General features: G+C 53.6%; 1 protein-coding gene and 1 non-coding gene across 5 annotated transcripts in view, besides 3 other annotated features; both read left to right on the forward strand.

The window, feature by feature from the left end:
• FUBP3 (far upstream element binding protein 3) overlaps positions 1-13,837 on the forward strand; it is a 58,776-nt gene extending 44,939 nt beyond the window's left edge. Inside the window, exons 12-19 of one of the 4 annotated variants that reach the window (NM_003934.2) lie at positions 1,849-1,990; positions 6,113-6,273; positions 7,042-7,115; positions 7,427-7,507; positions 7,687-7,763; positions 10,152-10,223; positions 11,484-11,611; positions 12,499-13,837. In NM_003934.2, the coding sequence (NP_003925.1) occupies positions 1,849-1,990; positions 6,113-6,273; positions 7,042-7,115; positions 7,427-7,507; positions 7,687-7,763; positions 10,152-10,223; positions 11,484-11,611; positions 12,499-12,507 (744 nt within the window). In that variant the 3' untranslated portion in view covers positions 12,508-13,837. Of the gene's footprint in view, positions 1-1,848; positions 1,991-6,112; positions 6,274-6,645; positions 6,779-7,041; positions 7,116-7,426; positions 7,508-7,686; positions 7,764-9,103; positions 10,119-10,151; positions 10,224-11,483; positions 11,612-12,498 lie in introns of those variants that run through there. The other 3 variants (XM_005272232.3, XM_011519172.4, XR_007061369.1) reach the window with 3 other exon arrangements.
• MIR6856 (microRNA 6856) lies at positions 1,782-1,848 on the forward strand. The gene has a single exon (NR_106915.1). It is a non-coding gene; the product is annotated as a microRNA 6856 (primary transcript).
• Positions 5,247-5,541: a silencer, noted in NCBI's record as "tiled region #1186; HepG2 Repressive non-DNase unmatched - State 15:Elon". NCBI's record gives its function as "represses a minimal TATA promoter and a strong SV40 promoter by Sharpr-MPRA in HepG2 cells {active_cell/tissue: HepG2}" and the evidence as "EXISTENCE:reporter gene assay evidence [ECO:0000049][PMID:27701403]".
• Positions 7,695-8,445: an enhancer, noted in NCBI's record as "H3K4me1 hESC enhancer chr9:133507597-133508347 (GRCh37/hg19 assembly coordinates)". NCBI's record gives its function as "activates a minimal SCP1, AML or CMV promoter by ChIP-STARR-seq in naive H9 embryonic stem cells {active_cell/tissue: H9 hESC(naive)}" and the evidence as "EXISTENCE:reporter gene assay evidence [ECO:0000049][PMID:30033119]".
• Positions 13,737-14,332: an enhancer, noted in NCBI's record as "H3K4me1 hESC enhancer chr9:133513639-133514234 (GRCh37/hg19 assembly coordinates)". NCBI's record gives its function as "activates a minimal SCP1, AML or CMV promoter by ChIP-STARR-seq in primed H9 embryonic stem cells {active_cell/tissue: H9 hESC(primed)}" and the evidence as "EXISTENCE:reporter gene assay evidence [ECO:0000049][PMID:30033119]".

The following is a 16,307-nucleotide window of genomic DNA, read 5'->3' on the forward strand; positions in this document are numbered from 1 at the left end:
GCTCGTTCAGCCTGTGGGCTGCACGCAGCCCAGGAACAGCATTGAATGCAGCCCAACACAAATTCATAAACTTTCTTAAAATGTTACAAGATTTTGTGTGTGTGTGTGTGTGTGTGTGTGTGTGTGTGTGTGTGTGTTTTTAAGCTCATCAGCTATCATTAATGTTAGTGTATTTTATGGGTGGCCCAAGACAGTTCTTCCAGTGTGGCCCAGGGAAGCCAAAAGATTGAACACCCCTGCTCTAAATGATCTCTAACATCCTTTTTTTGTAGCAAGAGTTTATGAACCTTGGCCAGGCACGGTGGCTCACTCTTGTACCCAGCATTTTGGGAGGCCGAGGCAAGCGGATCACCTGAGGTCAGGAGTTCGAGACCAGCCTGACCAACATGGTGAAACCCTGTCTCTGCTGAAAATACAAAATTAGCTGGACGTGGTGGCTCACGCCTGTAATCCTAGCACTTTGGGATGCCAAGGCAGGTGGATCACCTGAGGTCAGGAGTTCAAGACCAACATGGTGAGACCCGTCCCTACTAAAAATACAAAATTAGCCGGGCGTGGTGGCGCATGCCTATAGTTTCAGCTACTCAGGAGGCTGAGGCAGGAGAATTGCTTAAACCCAGGAAGCGGAGGTTGCAGTGAGCCAGGATCCTGCCATTGCATTCCCGCCTGGGCAACAAGAGCAAAACTCTGTCTCAAAAAAAGTTTATGAACCTTGCACTGCAGAGGCTGCGAGATGTTTGGGAGAAAACCTTTTCTTCGAGATCTGTGGCATACCCAGAAAGTTGACTGTGCGCTCCTGTGCGTGTGTGAACATCCATTCTAAAATTGCCTTGTTTACTTGGCAGTTGTCTCATAAGAGCAGAGTGCGGGGGAAAAGCACTCCAATTGTCTCAGCTTTCTGCTGGTTTAGATTCTGGGTAAACGTTCACTTTACTCTTAATCAACATGAGCAGGTTTTGCCCAACATTTCTTCATGTGTTGAAAAGTCTGTGCAGCTTCTCCCTTCCATGAAATAGCTCTTAGCTTGACCAGGTTCACCCTCCACATTTAAGAGAGTTTAAATACTGCAGCTCCAAAATGACTCCGCGGACAGCGGCTGGAATGAGACTTGCTGCTGTCTCAATGAAAGGGCTCTTCCTCTGTCCGCTGTTAGATTTAGGTTTTTCTCTCTGCTGGGTGAACAGTGGGAGAATGCCTCAGAGACTTCTCCAGCCCCACATGGGGAGGAGGCCTTGGCAGGTTCCCTCTGTTCCTCCCTTCTGAAGTATCCCTGAATGGTCACTCTTGAACCTGTTACTGCTGCTGCTGCTTGGGGGCACAACAGCCAAGAAGTTTTCTAAAACTGAGTAAAATCCGTTTATCCTTCTTGCTGACTGGAGTGCCAGGTGTTGTGACTCATAGCAGTGCCTGGTTGGGGAGGGTCAGCAGGCTGTGCATATCTGACTTCCCATAGGCCCAGTATGTGTCCGCCGCAGGAAAGAGGGGCCTCAGCTGCAAGGGAGAAAGCAGTTCTTGATGCCTGTAGATCGGGGCCCAGTGAGGAAAGCTCCAGGGAGAAAGGCCGCTGGGCTTCAGCCTTGGAGTTTGTGTCTGCCTATTTCTGTTGGATACATTTGAGCTGTTTATGTAACCACGTGTGTTCGTCTGCACAGGTCCTCCCCAGATACACCTGTGATCGGTGTTAATTCTGGCTTGAAAGAGCCCTTCAGAATGGGAAGTGTGGAAAGGTGCTAGGTTCTGATGGGTGGCATTGATTACATCCTGTCACTTAACCTCCTCCCTGGAAAAGAGAGGAGCAGTGGTGCTGTGGCAGTGGCAGAGGTCGCTACAGCCCTGTGATCTTTCCAGGAAAGAGACGGCTTTGGAGGCCTGGCAGCAGCCAGAGGAAGAGGTCGTGGCCGTGGCGACTGGAGCGTGGGAGCCCCTGGTGGCGTCCAGGAGATAACATACACGGTGCCAGCCGATAAGTGTGGCCTCGTCATAGGCAAAGGTAAGAGGCAGCTGGGGTTTCACATCCCCCCTCAGCTGTTTGGCTTGAGGGAAGGCAGGTCACGGGACCTCCAGAACCTTTGGTGAGGTCCCTTTGCTGCTGCAGGCTGGGGCTGCCCGGTCTGGAGGCAGTAGCCACCTTCTGCCGAAACCCTGCTTGGCATGGTTCTCTGAGGCTGCTGACGGGCCTGTTGTGAGGAGCAAAGTGTATTATTTCTGGTGAGTATGAAGAGACAGCAGTAAAACTCCCTGCCTGTTGAGGGCAGCTTAGCTTGGTGAAAAGATACCTTGCGCAAGATGGGGGGCATTTGTCAATCGACTGATTGGTAATTAACTCACCTCCAAGGAACTTAGAGGGACGGTTGAGACAGTATCCTCAGTGAAAATTCCTTCTCGACAGTGTGTCACTTGTTTCCCTTACCAGGTTTGAGTATTTGGTCTTGATCCGCGTAACATGTGAAAATGGTTTTTATCCTTTCTGCATATTTACCGTGAGTCACGGACTCTCTGTGGAGGGAAATAAACATTGATGTGTTAGTTTTTTCTGGGCATTTTGGAGAACATTAGGAAGAAACCCTCATTCATGGCTACTGTAGCTCCTTCCTGTCCTTCACTGAGAACCAGGAGAGAGCAGCCACATTTCTCAGCCATTGGCAGCAGTTCATCTTGGCTAGCCCTGGGACCCAGAAAGGCTACTGAGACCAGGGCCGAGGCTGTGGGGCCTTCCCAGTGTAGCAGCAGGGCTCGGCTTCCGTGGGGCTCTGAGCCAGGCCTCGCTGCCAGCGGGGGACTCCCGTTGTCACTGGGTTTCGTATTTGCCTTCATTAGGTATTTGACAGCATGTGGAGAAAACAGTCGTCTCTCCAGAGTTTCTCAAATTTCTTTGATCACCAAATACCCCTTAGCTGCTTGAGGGGCGCTCGTATTGGATAGGCAGGACTTGGGGATGCTTCACCAGCAGAGACCTCCAGAGCTGGGCAGGTGGGAGCCCCCCGACACTCACCTCCCAGGAGCTGCCCTCGTCCCTGCTCACAGACACTGTGGGCTTATGCTCTTGCAAAATGCAAGAAACCGTGTTGTCTTTTAGACTGAACCACTCAGAGTTGGTATGGGTTCGTGTTCATTTGCCGGCAGGTGTGCGGGCTGGTGAGTGTTTGGGGATATTGCAGGCTGCACCAGATGCTGCCAGAAGTCCCACACTACCCAGGCCGTCAGCCTGACCGCTGTGAGACTGCAGCTAGTTGATGCCTGTAGGTTGACGATTAGCTAGATCTAGATTTCTTGGCCTTTTGCAAACTATTTTGTCGGCGAAGTTTTCATTTGCTTGTGTCTCTAAACCCTGACTGAGCATTGTTGCCTCACCATGACAGGTTCTCATAGTGAGCCCTTGGTGCTCACAGAGCAGCCCCTCGTAGTTGGTCCTCCACAAAGTCATCCTGAGTGATTCCTAGAAAACAGTGATGAGAACGAAGCAGTAACTGGTCTGTGTCCCATGCTTGAATAGCAGCCTAAAGAAGCCTAATTAGTGTCTCGGATATGGGAGGGTCTTTCTATGTCACACACACACCGCACTAAACACACGCACGCACGCACGCACGCGCACACACACACACACACACACACCCCCTACCCCTCAGGGCCCATGTGAGACATCTCTTTTCCTTGAGATGGGCGCCTGGGCAAGGGAGAGAGGAGCCCCACGCAGCCAGGCCCATCTTTCCTTGGCCTCTGGCCTGGACAGACACAGAGCCTCCCTGGCCCCTGCTGGATTTCCATGATAAACACAGCAACATTGACAGATAGCTCAGCCAGCCTGCTCTTGTCAGCCAGGCCTTTTAGCAGGTTTGATTAATTGCTTTACGATTTCACGTCCAGCCAGGGGGCCACTGGTGGGGCACTTCTGCCCCCCATCAGGTAGAAGAATGGAGCGGGCTGCTGAATGAGTCTATAGACAGCCACCATGTGCCAAGCTAGTGACCTCATTTTGAAGGAAGATGAACTTAAATTAACTCCTTCTGGCCCCACGAGGTTTTGTGGCGCCTCCTCACCTTATTAGCATGTTCCCAAGGCCTGGGGATGAGGGGCCCAGTGGGGAGGGCCGGGGCCTCGGCTGTCTGGGGACTGCAGGATTCTCAGTCGCAGACACTCGTGTACTTGTGCTTTTGCCTCCAGACCAAGTGGATCTGGTTGGAGGCTGGTAGGGTTCCCTCGAGTCTTACGTGTGCCTGTGGAAATGGTCTCCATTTTGGTTTCTATTCTTTTTTATTTTTTTTTATTTTTTTGAGATGGAGTTTCGCTTTTGTTGCCCAGGCTGGAGTGCAGTGGCGTGATCATGGCTCACTGCAACCTCCGCCTCTGGGGTTCAAGCGATTCTCCTGCCTCAGCCTCCCGAGTAGCTTGGATTACAGGCATGCGCCACCACACCTGGCTAATTTTGTATTTTTAGTAGAGACGGGGTTTCTCCCTGTTGGTCAGGCTGGTCTCGAACTCCCAACCTCAGGTGATCCACTCGCCTTGGCCTCCCAAAGTGCTGGGATTACAGGCGTGAGCCACCGCGCCTGGCCAAGTCTCTATTCTTTATTGCTCCCCAAAAAACATTGCCTAGGAGCCTGCTTTTCATGGTGCAGAGAAGATAAAATCCATGGCCTCCGAGTAAAGGGCAGAGGTAAAGGTCCCCTAGGAGGGGCTTGTACCGGCCCAGAGGAAATCAGAGCTGTGGGTGCTGGCCCGGTGTCCCCAGACAGGCGGGTCTGGCCAGGGTGGAAAATGCAGGGATGCTTCTCTGAAACTCCAGCGGGACCTTAAGGAAATCACAAGCACAACATTTGGTTTTGTTAGTTGTTTTTTAAATTTAAAACCACCCTAAACTTAACCAACGTCTTCTGCATGCGACCTTATCTGCATGCCATGTCTCCCGGCGTCTTTTCTCCCCCGTAAGGGCAGCCCCTGCTGCCTTCAGGAAGGACCACCTGCCTTTTTCATTCCTGGACCTCTGTAGAGTCCTTGCAAGACGCCCTTGTGTCTGCCTTTAGCGTCCCCTCCCTACTGGCCCGATAGGCTGTTGAGGCAGGGCTTTTCTGGCAGTGGGTAGAGAGAAGCTTGGAGTGTTTGGAGGATTGTGGACGGTGTCTTGGTGAGGTGCCACATGGCATTTAGGGCCTGTTTTTTTGACTGTGGGCATGGAGGAGGGGCCGACACTGGCCCCGGTCTTTGCTTTTGATCACCCAGGCTCGCTGCTGCCCTATACCAGCTTTGGAGCAGATTACCTTTTTCTCCACTTTTCCAAACTGTGCTCCAAGTTATCCTTGTATTCTGGCTCCTCCTAGCAACACTCCATCCCCCACAGAGTTGAGCAGAGCAGATCCGCAAGTTCTGTGAATTTCAGAAGAAGAATCCAACTATTGTTACGCTGCTGGAGCTTTTATTACGCAAATTTCATTAAGAGACTGAGACTCTCCGCAGGTTTTTGAAAGAGACCAACTGAATTTTTGTTAGCCCGGCTCCACCCAGGTCTTTGTGACCTCCACCCCATCCTTGCACTGCCTGTGTAGACCGTCACCCCATGGAGGAGGCAGGGACTTGAGAAGTGACAGGGTGGGATACTGAAGGCCCGAGTGGGCTCCAGGCATGGTTGGGCCTGTGGTCATCTGTTTGGCCTATGGAGAAAGTTGCCCACAGCCAGGCTGAAGGCCCCATTGTCATGGAGGCGCCCTTGGCTCACCATTCTTGTGCTAAGAAGGGCAGTGCCATCCCTGGCTGGGCGGGAGCCCCACAGCTGGCCCCCAAGGGTGAGCTCCATGGTGTAGACCCACAGGCCTCAGCCCAGACCTGGTCTCTGGGCCACTCACGACCTTCACATGGAGGTTTCACATGGCATCTGTGGCCTCAGCTTGGCCTTGAGAGAAAGTCCAGCTTCACTCCAAACAGCTAGTTTTGCAAGTGAGAGAGCCCTGGGTTTAGTTGGAACCACTTTGGAGTAAATAGAGACAACTTCTCTACTGTCAGGGCAAGTGCCGACGTGCACAAAATCCCCCCGAGTTGTCTTCTGGAGCCAAGTGCCCCAGAGCCTCAGGAGTTGCCGCAGTCTCTGCTTACTCTTCTGCCTGTGTTGTGCTGTCCGCAGGGGGTGAGAACATCAAAAGCATCAACCAGCAGTCAGGGGCGCACGTGGAGCTTCAGAGGAACCCCCCTCCCAACAGCGACCCCAACCTGCGGAGATTCACCATCAGGGGGGTTCCCCAGCAGATCGAGGTGGCCAGGCAGCTCATAGATGAGAAAGTTGGCGTACGTACAGGGTCCTTCCCCCACCTGGTTTACTCATAGCTGTTTTCTTGTGGATGTCCAAGGTACCAGCTTTTCCCACCACCTTGTGCTGCTTGTGCCTGTGGGTTCTCACATCACACGAGGGCAAGCCCCCTCCTGCTTTGCCGAAGGGGAGGGTCGGAGACCCAGGGAGTGCCAGAGCCAGGCCCAGAAGCAATGAAGGAAGCCTGGCAGGACTCACCAAGGCCGCAGCAGCCGAGGCCCCAGAGCCGTTCCCCTGCGGGCTTAGATGAGCGGCTGGGGCGGCAGCCTCCCCCCACGCTGCCCCGGGACTCCGCTGGCATTGCCCTGGCGGCCAGCCCAGCAGGCAGCTTTCATTGACTCTGGCTTTAGTTTCAGGCACCTCAAGGCAGATAAAGAAAGGGAGTGTTGATGGAGGACAGATGGGCCACTGCTCACCTCAATGGGGACGTAGAATGGCAGAAAGAGCCTTGGGCCAGCCTAAGTTGACGGGAGAGTCAAGCAGGTTGGTCCCTACCCCCAGGGTGATGCCAGGGCAGTTGTGGTGGTGCCAGGACTGGCTGTGTGGTGGTATTGGTCGCTGGAGGGCAGAAGCCATTTCTGCAGCGCAGCCTGCTGTGGGAAGGAAGGCTAGTGTGAGTGCGTAGGTGTCCTTACTTCACTCGACTCCATCTCCCCAAAAGCTGGGCTTTGCCTCGGGGTGGGCCTGGGCAGAGGAAAGAGGTGTGCAACCAACAGCGGGTGAGAGCTCCCTCTGTGCCCCCACAGGGGACCAATCTCGGAGCACCTGGAGCCTTCGGACAGAGTCCATTCAGCCAGCCACCTGCCCCACCTCATCAAAAGTGAGTCTTTTGCATCAGTCTTGCCTGGGAGAATTCACTCGCTCCCCAGAGATCCCCTGTCGTTTCCAGCTACTTCTAGCGAGTGCCAGCCAAGGCCTGAAGTTCTGGGCGTGGGCAGGACTCGTTTCTTTTCCTCTCACCAGCGGTCCCTCCGGCCTATCACTCACTGACCTCAGCGATGGGGTGGGAGCCTCTCAGAGGGCAGAGGGTCTTCTGTCCCGACTGCCCCCTCAGTGCCCTGGGGCTGCGGGGAGGGGACGAGCCCTCTGTTGTGAGGCGCTCAGTCTGTTGTTTCTTTTACCTTTTCCCAGTACCTTTCCTCCAAGGAGCTCCGGGTGCTTCCCAAACATGGCTGCCAAGGTGAATGGGAACCCCCACAGCACCCCTGTGAGGTAGGTGACCTGCTGTGACTCAGTTGGGGACAGACGGCACTAAGGTGGTCACTTGGCTATTGCCGACAGGCAAGGGTCCGGTGATGCTTGGCTGGGGTGAGGGAGGTGAGCAGTGAAGAGGGAGACGACAGGGGTGACTTGCCCCCTATAGGAACGAGTGACCCTCTTGTTATCCACAGTGGTCCTCCGGCCTTTCTGACCCAGGGCTGGGGCAGCACCTACCAGGCGTGGCAGCAGCCCACACAGCAGGTCCCAAGTAAGTGACTCGGGGCGGGGAGTGCATGCCCTCCAGAAAGGTTGCGGCCCACAGAAGTCCTGGGGCCAAAACGCCCTCGTTCAACTCAGCCAGCAGGCCCAGGATGCCCCTCCCCAAATGACAAGGAGCCCTCTGGGTGGGGCTTGGGCCCTCCTGCAGGCCTGTACCAGGGGTTGTGCATGCTCAGAAAAAGGCCCCAAGGGAAACTGCACAAACCTCAGGCGGGCTGGGGACTCTGGGCTGGCCCTCTCTTGGCCCACCTGTCCTCAGAGTTCTGGGCCTCTGTCACTTTCGTTCCCTATGCATGGGTGGGGATGGGTTGAGCCAGCTTCTGCTCCTCCTCTTCTCCACCCCTTGAGGGGCTGGTTCCTGGCCCTCCAACTCCCTGCCCCTGCCTTGGGTGGCTGCCTTCCTCTCCCCTCTCAGGCTTCCATCTCCTGAACTTTTCAGAAGCAAACAGCTAGGGAATGACTTCTTCTGCATCCCGCCTCTCCAGGGAGGCTGGTTGTGAAGGAGAAAGTCCTGGTGGGAATCAAAGCCGCCACCCTCTCTGTCCCCACAGACGCTTCAGGAACCACTGTTGGGTTTCAGAGCTGGTCTAGCCCCTCTGGCATGGCCTTCACAAAGCAAAGCAGAACCCTTACCTTAGTACGATCCACGTTCTTTTGACCCATCTGGAGTTTCTGTCCTGTGTTTAGAAAGGCTTCTTCAGTGTCTGCAGATTCCCACAGCACCCAGGCCGCAGGCCCCGCCTCACAGCCTGGCTCGGAGGGCCTGAGCCCCCTTTCTGGGGTTCTGCCACTTCAGCCTTACACAGAGTCCTGAGGCCAGTGCTGTGTGGCCTTAGGCACGCCCTGCCTTCTCTGGAGCTCCACTTTGCCACATGTAAAATCAAGGGTTTGGGTTTGAATTCTAAAGTACTTGCATGCTCTGAAATTGTATAGTTGTGTTTCTTCCCTTTTTTTCCCCAGTATCTTATTATGAAACGTTTCAAATATCTTAGAACACTCTGCAGTGAGCACCCACAAGGCACCCAGATCCCACCATCCATCCCCTTTCCCTCTGCTCGCTTGGCCATAGGGGCTAACCCTGTTTCCTTTCCTCGGCTCCTCACCTGCTGTTCTAGTCTGAGATAATCCTCCAGGCAGCAAGGTGGCCAGGATTGACTCTGGGGACACTGAGGCCTGGGAGGCCTTCAGGGGAAACGGCCCCCTGGCGGGTGGAACGGGCAGAGGCCTGTGGGCTGAGGAAGGGAGAGTGCAGGAGGCACCCGGTGGTCTTGCCGCCATTGGGCAGCCTTCATCTCATGTTGTGGAGCTTGGCTTTTTTTGTTTATTCAGGGGTTTTGCAGTGGAGAACCGGTTTGGGTTGGTGAAATACTGTTTGGCGGCGAAGTCCTGCTTGCCGGCGCCCTCCGCGTCCGAGGGAAGAGTGTTTGCTGCCTGTGTCCCTCTTTCGCCCTGCCCCTGTGGGAGGAAGCGGGGCGTCTCCTTCCCTCCTTCCTCCCGCTGCTTGCTTCTTCCCCACGCTGCTCCTCAGTATGCAGTAAAGTGAACTAGTGGAGAAAGCATTTGGCTGCATGCTCTCTGCAGTGGTTTGCCCTTCCTCCCTGCTTCAGGCTACAATCCTTACAGGAGACGAGACAGTGAGGGGGTCTTTTGTGGGCCTTGGCAGGTGGACACCTGAGCCAGCCCCGGCCTGGGCAGAAGGAGAGGTCCTGACCCGCCACTGTGGTCAAGTCTTTGAACCCCCTCTTGTGCCTGGCAGGGTGCTGAGGCTCTGTTCCCCCATGCTGGCTGTTTCTCCGCGTCCCCCAGTCTTCACTGCCCACATAGCCTAGAGGGTGAACCCAGGGTCCTGCACAGAAGAGAAGGGCTGGACCACCCAAACACATGCACCCCCTTTCCCTCTGCCCTACCCCAGCTGGCCTGAGGCTGGACAGGGTCCAGGAGCCCACTGGTGCTGCCTACCCCTGCTCCACATGGCCCCTCCACTTCCCTTGGTCCAGAGGCACAGCCCCCAGGCCTTGAACAGAGGGCCACGCGAAGAGAGTGGTCAGCAGCCTCTGGAGTCTTTGTCCTTTGGAAGGCTGATTGGGGAGCCTCAGAACAGCAGTGGCTGTGGCCGTCAAGCTTGCGTCTCCATCTGAAGAGGGTCAGGCTAGCCTTGCTAGTTGCCTCGTGTGCCCAGCCCCACCCTTACAGTGATCTTAGTTACACCCCTTCCCCCAGCCCTGCCAGCTGCCACCTCCTTCCCAGGCAGGGCTGCGGAGCCGTGTGTGGCCAGGAGCGAGGTGGAGGAGTGCAGGGCAGGGCCTGCAGCTGGCGGGCTGGGGCCGAGGCTGTGAGGAGCCCGTAAGGCCTGACTGCTTTTGTGTTCTTCGCACAGGCCAGCAGAGCCAGCCGCAGAGCAGCCAGCCCAACTACAGCAAGGCCTGGGAAGACTATTACAAAAAACAGAGTGAGTGCCCGGCCCTCCTAACCTGTGGCAGCACAGTCCCCTCCAGCCCAGAGACTTCAGAGTCCAAGGCTCACTGTCACCTCTTTTTTCCCTAATGCCTTCCCTGTGTGGCTTGATCTCATTATTTGCCTTCGTCCTCCACCCTGTACCTGCCTGCTTCTTTCTGTCAGGAGTCTGGGCATAGTCAGTCAGTGACCACAGGCTGCCCTGCGACTCGGCACATCCCCTCCTCTTTATTCTCCCCGTGCTGGGCTCCAAAGGACTTGAGGTGGGCGTGGCACCTGGAAGTGTGGGCTCAGCTGGCGTCTGGTCTCCTTAGGGACTGAAAGATTCCGGCTGGGTGCCACCTGGCCGGCAAACAGACCAACCAGACATCTTGTTCTCTGTCTTGGTGCTTCAGGGCAGATGAGGAGAGGTGGTGAGATTCAGGGAAGGAGGCCTTACCTGGGCATTGGAGCTGGGTGCTTAGTTTCTCTTCTTAAGTAGGCCCGTTTTCTAACTACCAGAAATGAAACCAGCCTTCAGAGCAGGGCGAGGGACCCAACAAGCAAAAGGTCTCTGGGGAGTCACATAAAATCAGGACCAGACTCTCGGGATATATCCCACGATTACTAGACCGGAGGACTGAGGGCTTGTTTAAAGAGGTATCTCACGTGCCTTGTGTTTGGAGGATGTTTCTTGCTGGTTGGAAGAGATCGGGTTGAAGGCTACCAGAGAAGTGGTCCCCCTGGTGTTGGCATCATCGCCAGGTTCATGGCCCTTCTAGGGGTTGGAGGTGGGGGTGTTGAGTCATGGTCACCAGAGTGCTGTAAGCTCAGCTGCCCAGTCTTCCCCAAATCCCAATTCCCAGACCCCTGGGCCTGTGTTGAAGCTGTTCACAGGATTTGGACACTATCACAGGCACCCAAGTTAGGTACTCCCCTTCTCCCCCACCCCCACCCCAGGATCCCCCCTTCTCTGTCTGTCACAGGGCCCTGGGAGCTGAAGGGGCAGGCAGGGAGATGCAGAGAATGCGCTTCCGCAGAGAGAAGGCAGGCGTGAGGATTGGTCTTCACAGGCATAGCAGGGGCCGGGCAACAAGAGGCTAACAGCACCTTTTGTAGCAAGCGCTCCTGCAACACCAGCCTCACCTCACTGCCTCCCAGACCTCCCTGCCTTCCAGCCGTCCGGAGGGAGAGCAGATGCCCAGGGCCTTTGGGAAGGGTCCTGCCCAGTGCACCTCCGCTCCCGATAACCTGTGTTTCCTCCTTTGTCAACCAGGTCACGCCGCCAGCGCTGCTCCTCAGGCCAGCTCCCCACCGGACTACACAATGGCCTGGGCAGAATATTACAGACAGCAGGTCGCTTTCTACGGACAGACGTTAGGGCAGGCGCAGGCCCACAGCCAGGTCTGTAGCTGATCACCAGCACCGCTGCCACTCCCTAGCCCCGAGCCCCTGCTCCCAAGCCTTCTGTGTTTCCTGACCCCAGGATGAGAGCGCTGGGCTAGGAGGAACCTCTGGGCGCCATAGCTCCTCAGCGAGGCTGCTTCTGCTGAGAGCCCGGCTCCAGCCCCTCTGTCCCTCCTCGCTCTGGAGAAAAAGAGTTTAGGCCAAGTGGGAGGATTGGGGGCGCAGCCCCTACAAGGAAGTGCCTGAACTTTCCTCAAGTCCAGGCCCCAGACCTCAGGGCTGATTAGTAGTCTCTCTCTTCCTCTAAGCCTCAGTTTCCCTAACCGTAAAGGAGCAAGTGCAGAGGGTGCGCTCCGGCGACTGCTCTCGAGGAGGGTGGAGTGGCCAGGCCGTCAGCCATGCCCGGGCAGCAGCAGGAAGCAGTGAGAGGGCAGGGGGGCAGAGCCCAGCTTTCCTCTCCTGTGCACAACCTAGAGGGTTCTGTTCAGAGGCCAAAAACGGATTTCTTATTAAAGAAGGGAAGACGTCCAAATGTTCCCACAGGGCGCATTTCCCACCTGATGCCAGTCAGGTCCTCATGGATAACATTTCAGTTACCTCCTGGCCCTGGACTCAGCTGGTTGGGCCTCTCACTGCCAAATTGGCCGTCTGGGTCTGGTCCTGGGGAAACAGGTGTCAGGGCTGGTGGTGATGGAGGAGAAGCGTGGCTCCCACTGTCCGCTCTTCCCTGCCCCAAGTCCCTAGTGGAGAGAGAAGCCCAAGACCTCTTCAGCAGAGGTTTTGTCTGGCCCAGCTCCCGTGACGCGAGACCTGGGGGAGGTCACTGGCACACAGACCTGAGAACCTGCCATCACAGACTAATTCCTCTTCCCTTCCGCCCACAGGAGCAGTAGGACAGCGTCCTCGTGGCCAACTCTCCCCTCAAAATCATTGTCAAAGAAAACCTATTTGTAACAGAGGTTTTTACATTTGCAAACCTTTTGATGAAGAACTGTTGTTTTGTTCTGTGAAACACTATATTTAGATTAACGGAATTTTTCTAAAAATCAGGAAAATTAGTTACTAAAAATTGCTGATCATTTTTGTTTCATTATTTTTGTTATTTCAAATGTATAAGCTCTGGGATTCTTTTTGGAGCAATACCTACAAAGTCAGGCACCAGAATGTGCCTCAGAGCTGTGACATTTCAACATGATGGTTTTGGTTTGGTTTGGTTTTGTGTCCTTTTTATTTGCAGTTTTTTCTGTTGCAACAGAAAGTGGCTTGGAAGTCTTAGGTGGTATGTAACAAATTCTTTTTAAAAATTTTAAAGCAGTATTTAAGTATTCTTAAATGTGTAAATTCATTTAATGTTTTACTTCTAATTTCTTGTATCTTGGCTGTCTGGTTTTATTGCATTTTTAAAAAAACTGAACTATTATGTATTGTAATGAATGATGTGAATTCTGAACTGAGACAGATAATTGTATTGCTGTCCAACAGGGGTTGGGAGGGGCATTTTGTAGGGTTTGTATAATTTCTAGAGTTCGAAAGGGGTAATATAAAAATGTGCTCGTGTGTTTAGCCTACGTTTTTCTCATGCCTCCATTACCAGTTGCAATTGTGTATCTAAGACCTCCAAGCTTGTTTTTAAAACAAAACAAAAAACCTTTCTCTATTATCTCAGAAATATAAATACTGTTATTTTTAATATTAAGAAATTCAATATAACTTTTAACACACACTGTGGAACATTAAACCGTATAAAAATGTAGTTATAACTATTTTTAATTCCAAGGTGTTGTTTGCTTTTTTCTTTTAAATATTTTCTTAATATTTTGTCAGATTAACTAGATGAATAAATAAATCTAGTATTAACCGCATTATGAATTAAATAATTTTGATTTAATGAAAGGGATAATATGATTTCCAGTGTTTACTGTAGTGTATCTTGTACAGATAACATGTATTTTTAAAGGAAAAAAAACGGAATTGAAGCTATTTTTTCTTGCATTTCTAATTGACCTGAGGGACATTCCGTTTGAAATGTACTGAAGTTACAGTTTCTGGTTTTTTCTCCTTATTTTTCTTATAATGCTTGAAATGTCTAACTATTAAAAAAGACAATTGGAAAATGTTATGCATGGGGTTTTTAAGAAAACAAAGTGTTCTTTTTATTTGACTGACAATTCATTTTACACTCTATATAATAAAATCTCCACAAGGCATCTTGTGGGCAAAGTCTTTCTGGCCTGTTTGCTTTCCATTCGCCGGTTCATCCCTCTGCCCCTGCCCGCGGCCGCCCGAGAGGGAAAGAGGATTCCTGCGGGCCTCGCCCGTCATCTTGCACCGCGTCCACCCGCCTTCGTTGGTGCACAGTCTAGATGTCTAGCTAGTTCGTTAAGCTAATTTTATGTTAATGGCTCTGTATGATTTGACAGCTTGACTTGAGAGCCGTGGTTGGGCTCAGCTCCCCTTCCCTGTCACAGTCAGGCATCTGTAAGTGAGAAGTCAGTATGGGAGTGTCATCGGATGGAGCTGGGAGATGCATTGAAGGGCGTGCGGCGGGTCAGCAGACTTCTGCGACTGACTGGGCAGCCCCTTGCCCTCCGCCCGCTCCCCTTCCCTGCGTGCCCATGCACACACATTCGCCTGCAAATGTAGGTGGGCTGCCCTAGGCGCGGTGTGCTTCCCTGACTGTTGCTGCCTGCATCCCCCACCTCCTTGTCCCCAGCCTCACCTGTGGCTGTGGTGGTGGTGCTTTCTCGCTCTTAGCCCCGTGCCCACGGTGGGACACCAGATCGCCAGGAGGGCTGGGAAGCATCAGCACACGTGCTCGTTATGTCCTGTCCTTTCATGAAGAAACAAATGGGGCGTCCTTCCCCAGAGGTGTTAAGTTACAGTCCTGTGGTCTTAGGACTCGTGGCGACAGTGTGGGCCTCAGACTTGGAAGGGCATTAAGTAATAGCATCAGCCCTCGCCTTTTTTTTTCCTTCTGTCCCGTTGGTTGGGGTGACTGGCATTGAGCAGTGTCTGCTTTCACGTCTGAGGGGCCCTGCCTTCGCCCTCAGGCTTTCTGTGCGGGTCTCTACTTAGATATAGAGACCTGTTTCCATCCTGAACGGGGCTTGCTGGGCTGTGCCTGGCCAATACCGGCCCCTTGTCTGTACTCCAAGCTTCTGACAGGAGGGGAAAAAAGCAGCTGTGGCTCCTTCAGGCCGAAAAGGGGTGTGGAGAGCAGCCCATCTGCGGCCATGGCAGGCCTGTTGAGAGCCGGAAGACAAAAAGGAGATGTGGCATTTTTAACTGCACCTCTAGAGAATCGAGTTTGACGTTGAGAAATTGAATAGTAAAAGGCACTTGGAAAGTGGGGGGAGGGGGCCGAGTGGGAGGAGGGCGTAAACGCTGATGACGGTAATGGGAATTCGGGAGAGGGCATTACAGAGAAGACTTCCTTCTAATTCATCTTCCAAGCTCTGTGCCAAAACAGCATTTGGCATGGTTCACAGGGAGCGATTGTGTGATAATGAACCCTAAGGTGTCCCTTAATTGAAGACTGAGCATTGTGGTTTGTGCCAAGAGTCATAAATGGCGCAGGCTTGCGGAGGATGCATTTTCTTAAATGTATCGGTAAGTACAGATTAGCGCTTGTCCCCAGTGAAATGCCCATACTATAAATTATGGAAATCTCTCTTTCTCTCTGATGCAATCTTTTATTGGGGGGAGGGGGTGTGGTACGACAGGAGGCGGGGGGGGAAAGTTTGCAAGCATATGAAATTTGGCCTCTCATTAACATGGCGCCCAAGGAAGATGATTTTCATCAGCAGTCTGGTGTACTGGAGGCTAAAGTGCTTGAAATGTACCAAGTTCAGCGGTTGTGTTCCATTAAGAAAGATGCATGGTCATCACTGTAAGGGCGGTCGGGGTCCGGGAGGCGGGGCGGGCGCTTGCCCAGTCTGTCTTCTGAATGCATGCCCCACCCCCACCCGCCACCGCCCATGCCTACTGGGTCTCTGCCAGCCTCCCAAGTTCAGGATCCATCAAGGACCCTGCTGAGCCGATCCCAGCCCCACCCAGAAGTTTGGGCTGGGGTTGAGGAGTTCTCAGCCAGCGGGCCTCAATCAGTACCCCTGGCCTCCCATCAGATAGGAGGCACCATCTTTCCAGGGTCACTCGACAGTGGTGACCACCCATGATGTCCCAGAGCCCCCAAGGTAGGGTCGGCTGGGGCACAGATGGCACAGTGCAGTGCCTGGTCCATGAGAACGTGGGTCACCCCAGAGCCGCAGCTTCTAGCTGGCTACAGCCCCACTCTCTCCCAGCCCCACTTCTGGTCCACTAGGGCCCAGCTGGGGTTTTTTAAGATGGGCTGAAGCAAATGGGCCTGATAGATGCTTAGAGATTAATGGCCAGAAAGTGGCTTGACACTCAATTCCGCAGGGGGCTGCAGGCCCTGGGTCTGTGTCTTGGGTAGGGTGGAAGGGGAAGCAAAGACAACCCTCACTGCCCTTGAAACAATGGTCATCTTGGCTGTCCTTTGTCTTGAAGGTGTTTCTGTAGCATCTACCAAGGGGGTCCTGGCCCTTTCCAGGTACCTGCTTCCAAGGTGGTCTCTGCACCCTGGGAGGTAGAAAGGCCTAATCTCCCCATTTCACAGAAGAGGGCTCAGAGTCAAAGGCTGAGACCTGCCTTTATTCACACGGGCATGGAGGGG

The sequence above is a fragment of the Homo sapiens genome, chromosome 9 (assembly GCF_000001405.40).
Source record: "Homo sapiens chromosome 9, GRCh38.p14 Primary Assembly".
Classification (NCBI taxonomy): Eukaryota; Metazoa; Chordata; class Mammalia; order Primates; family Hominidae; genus Homo; species Homo sapiens.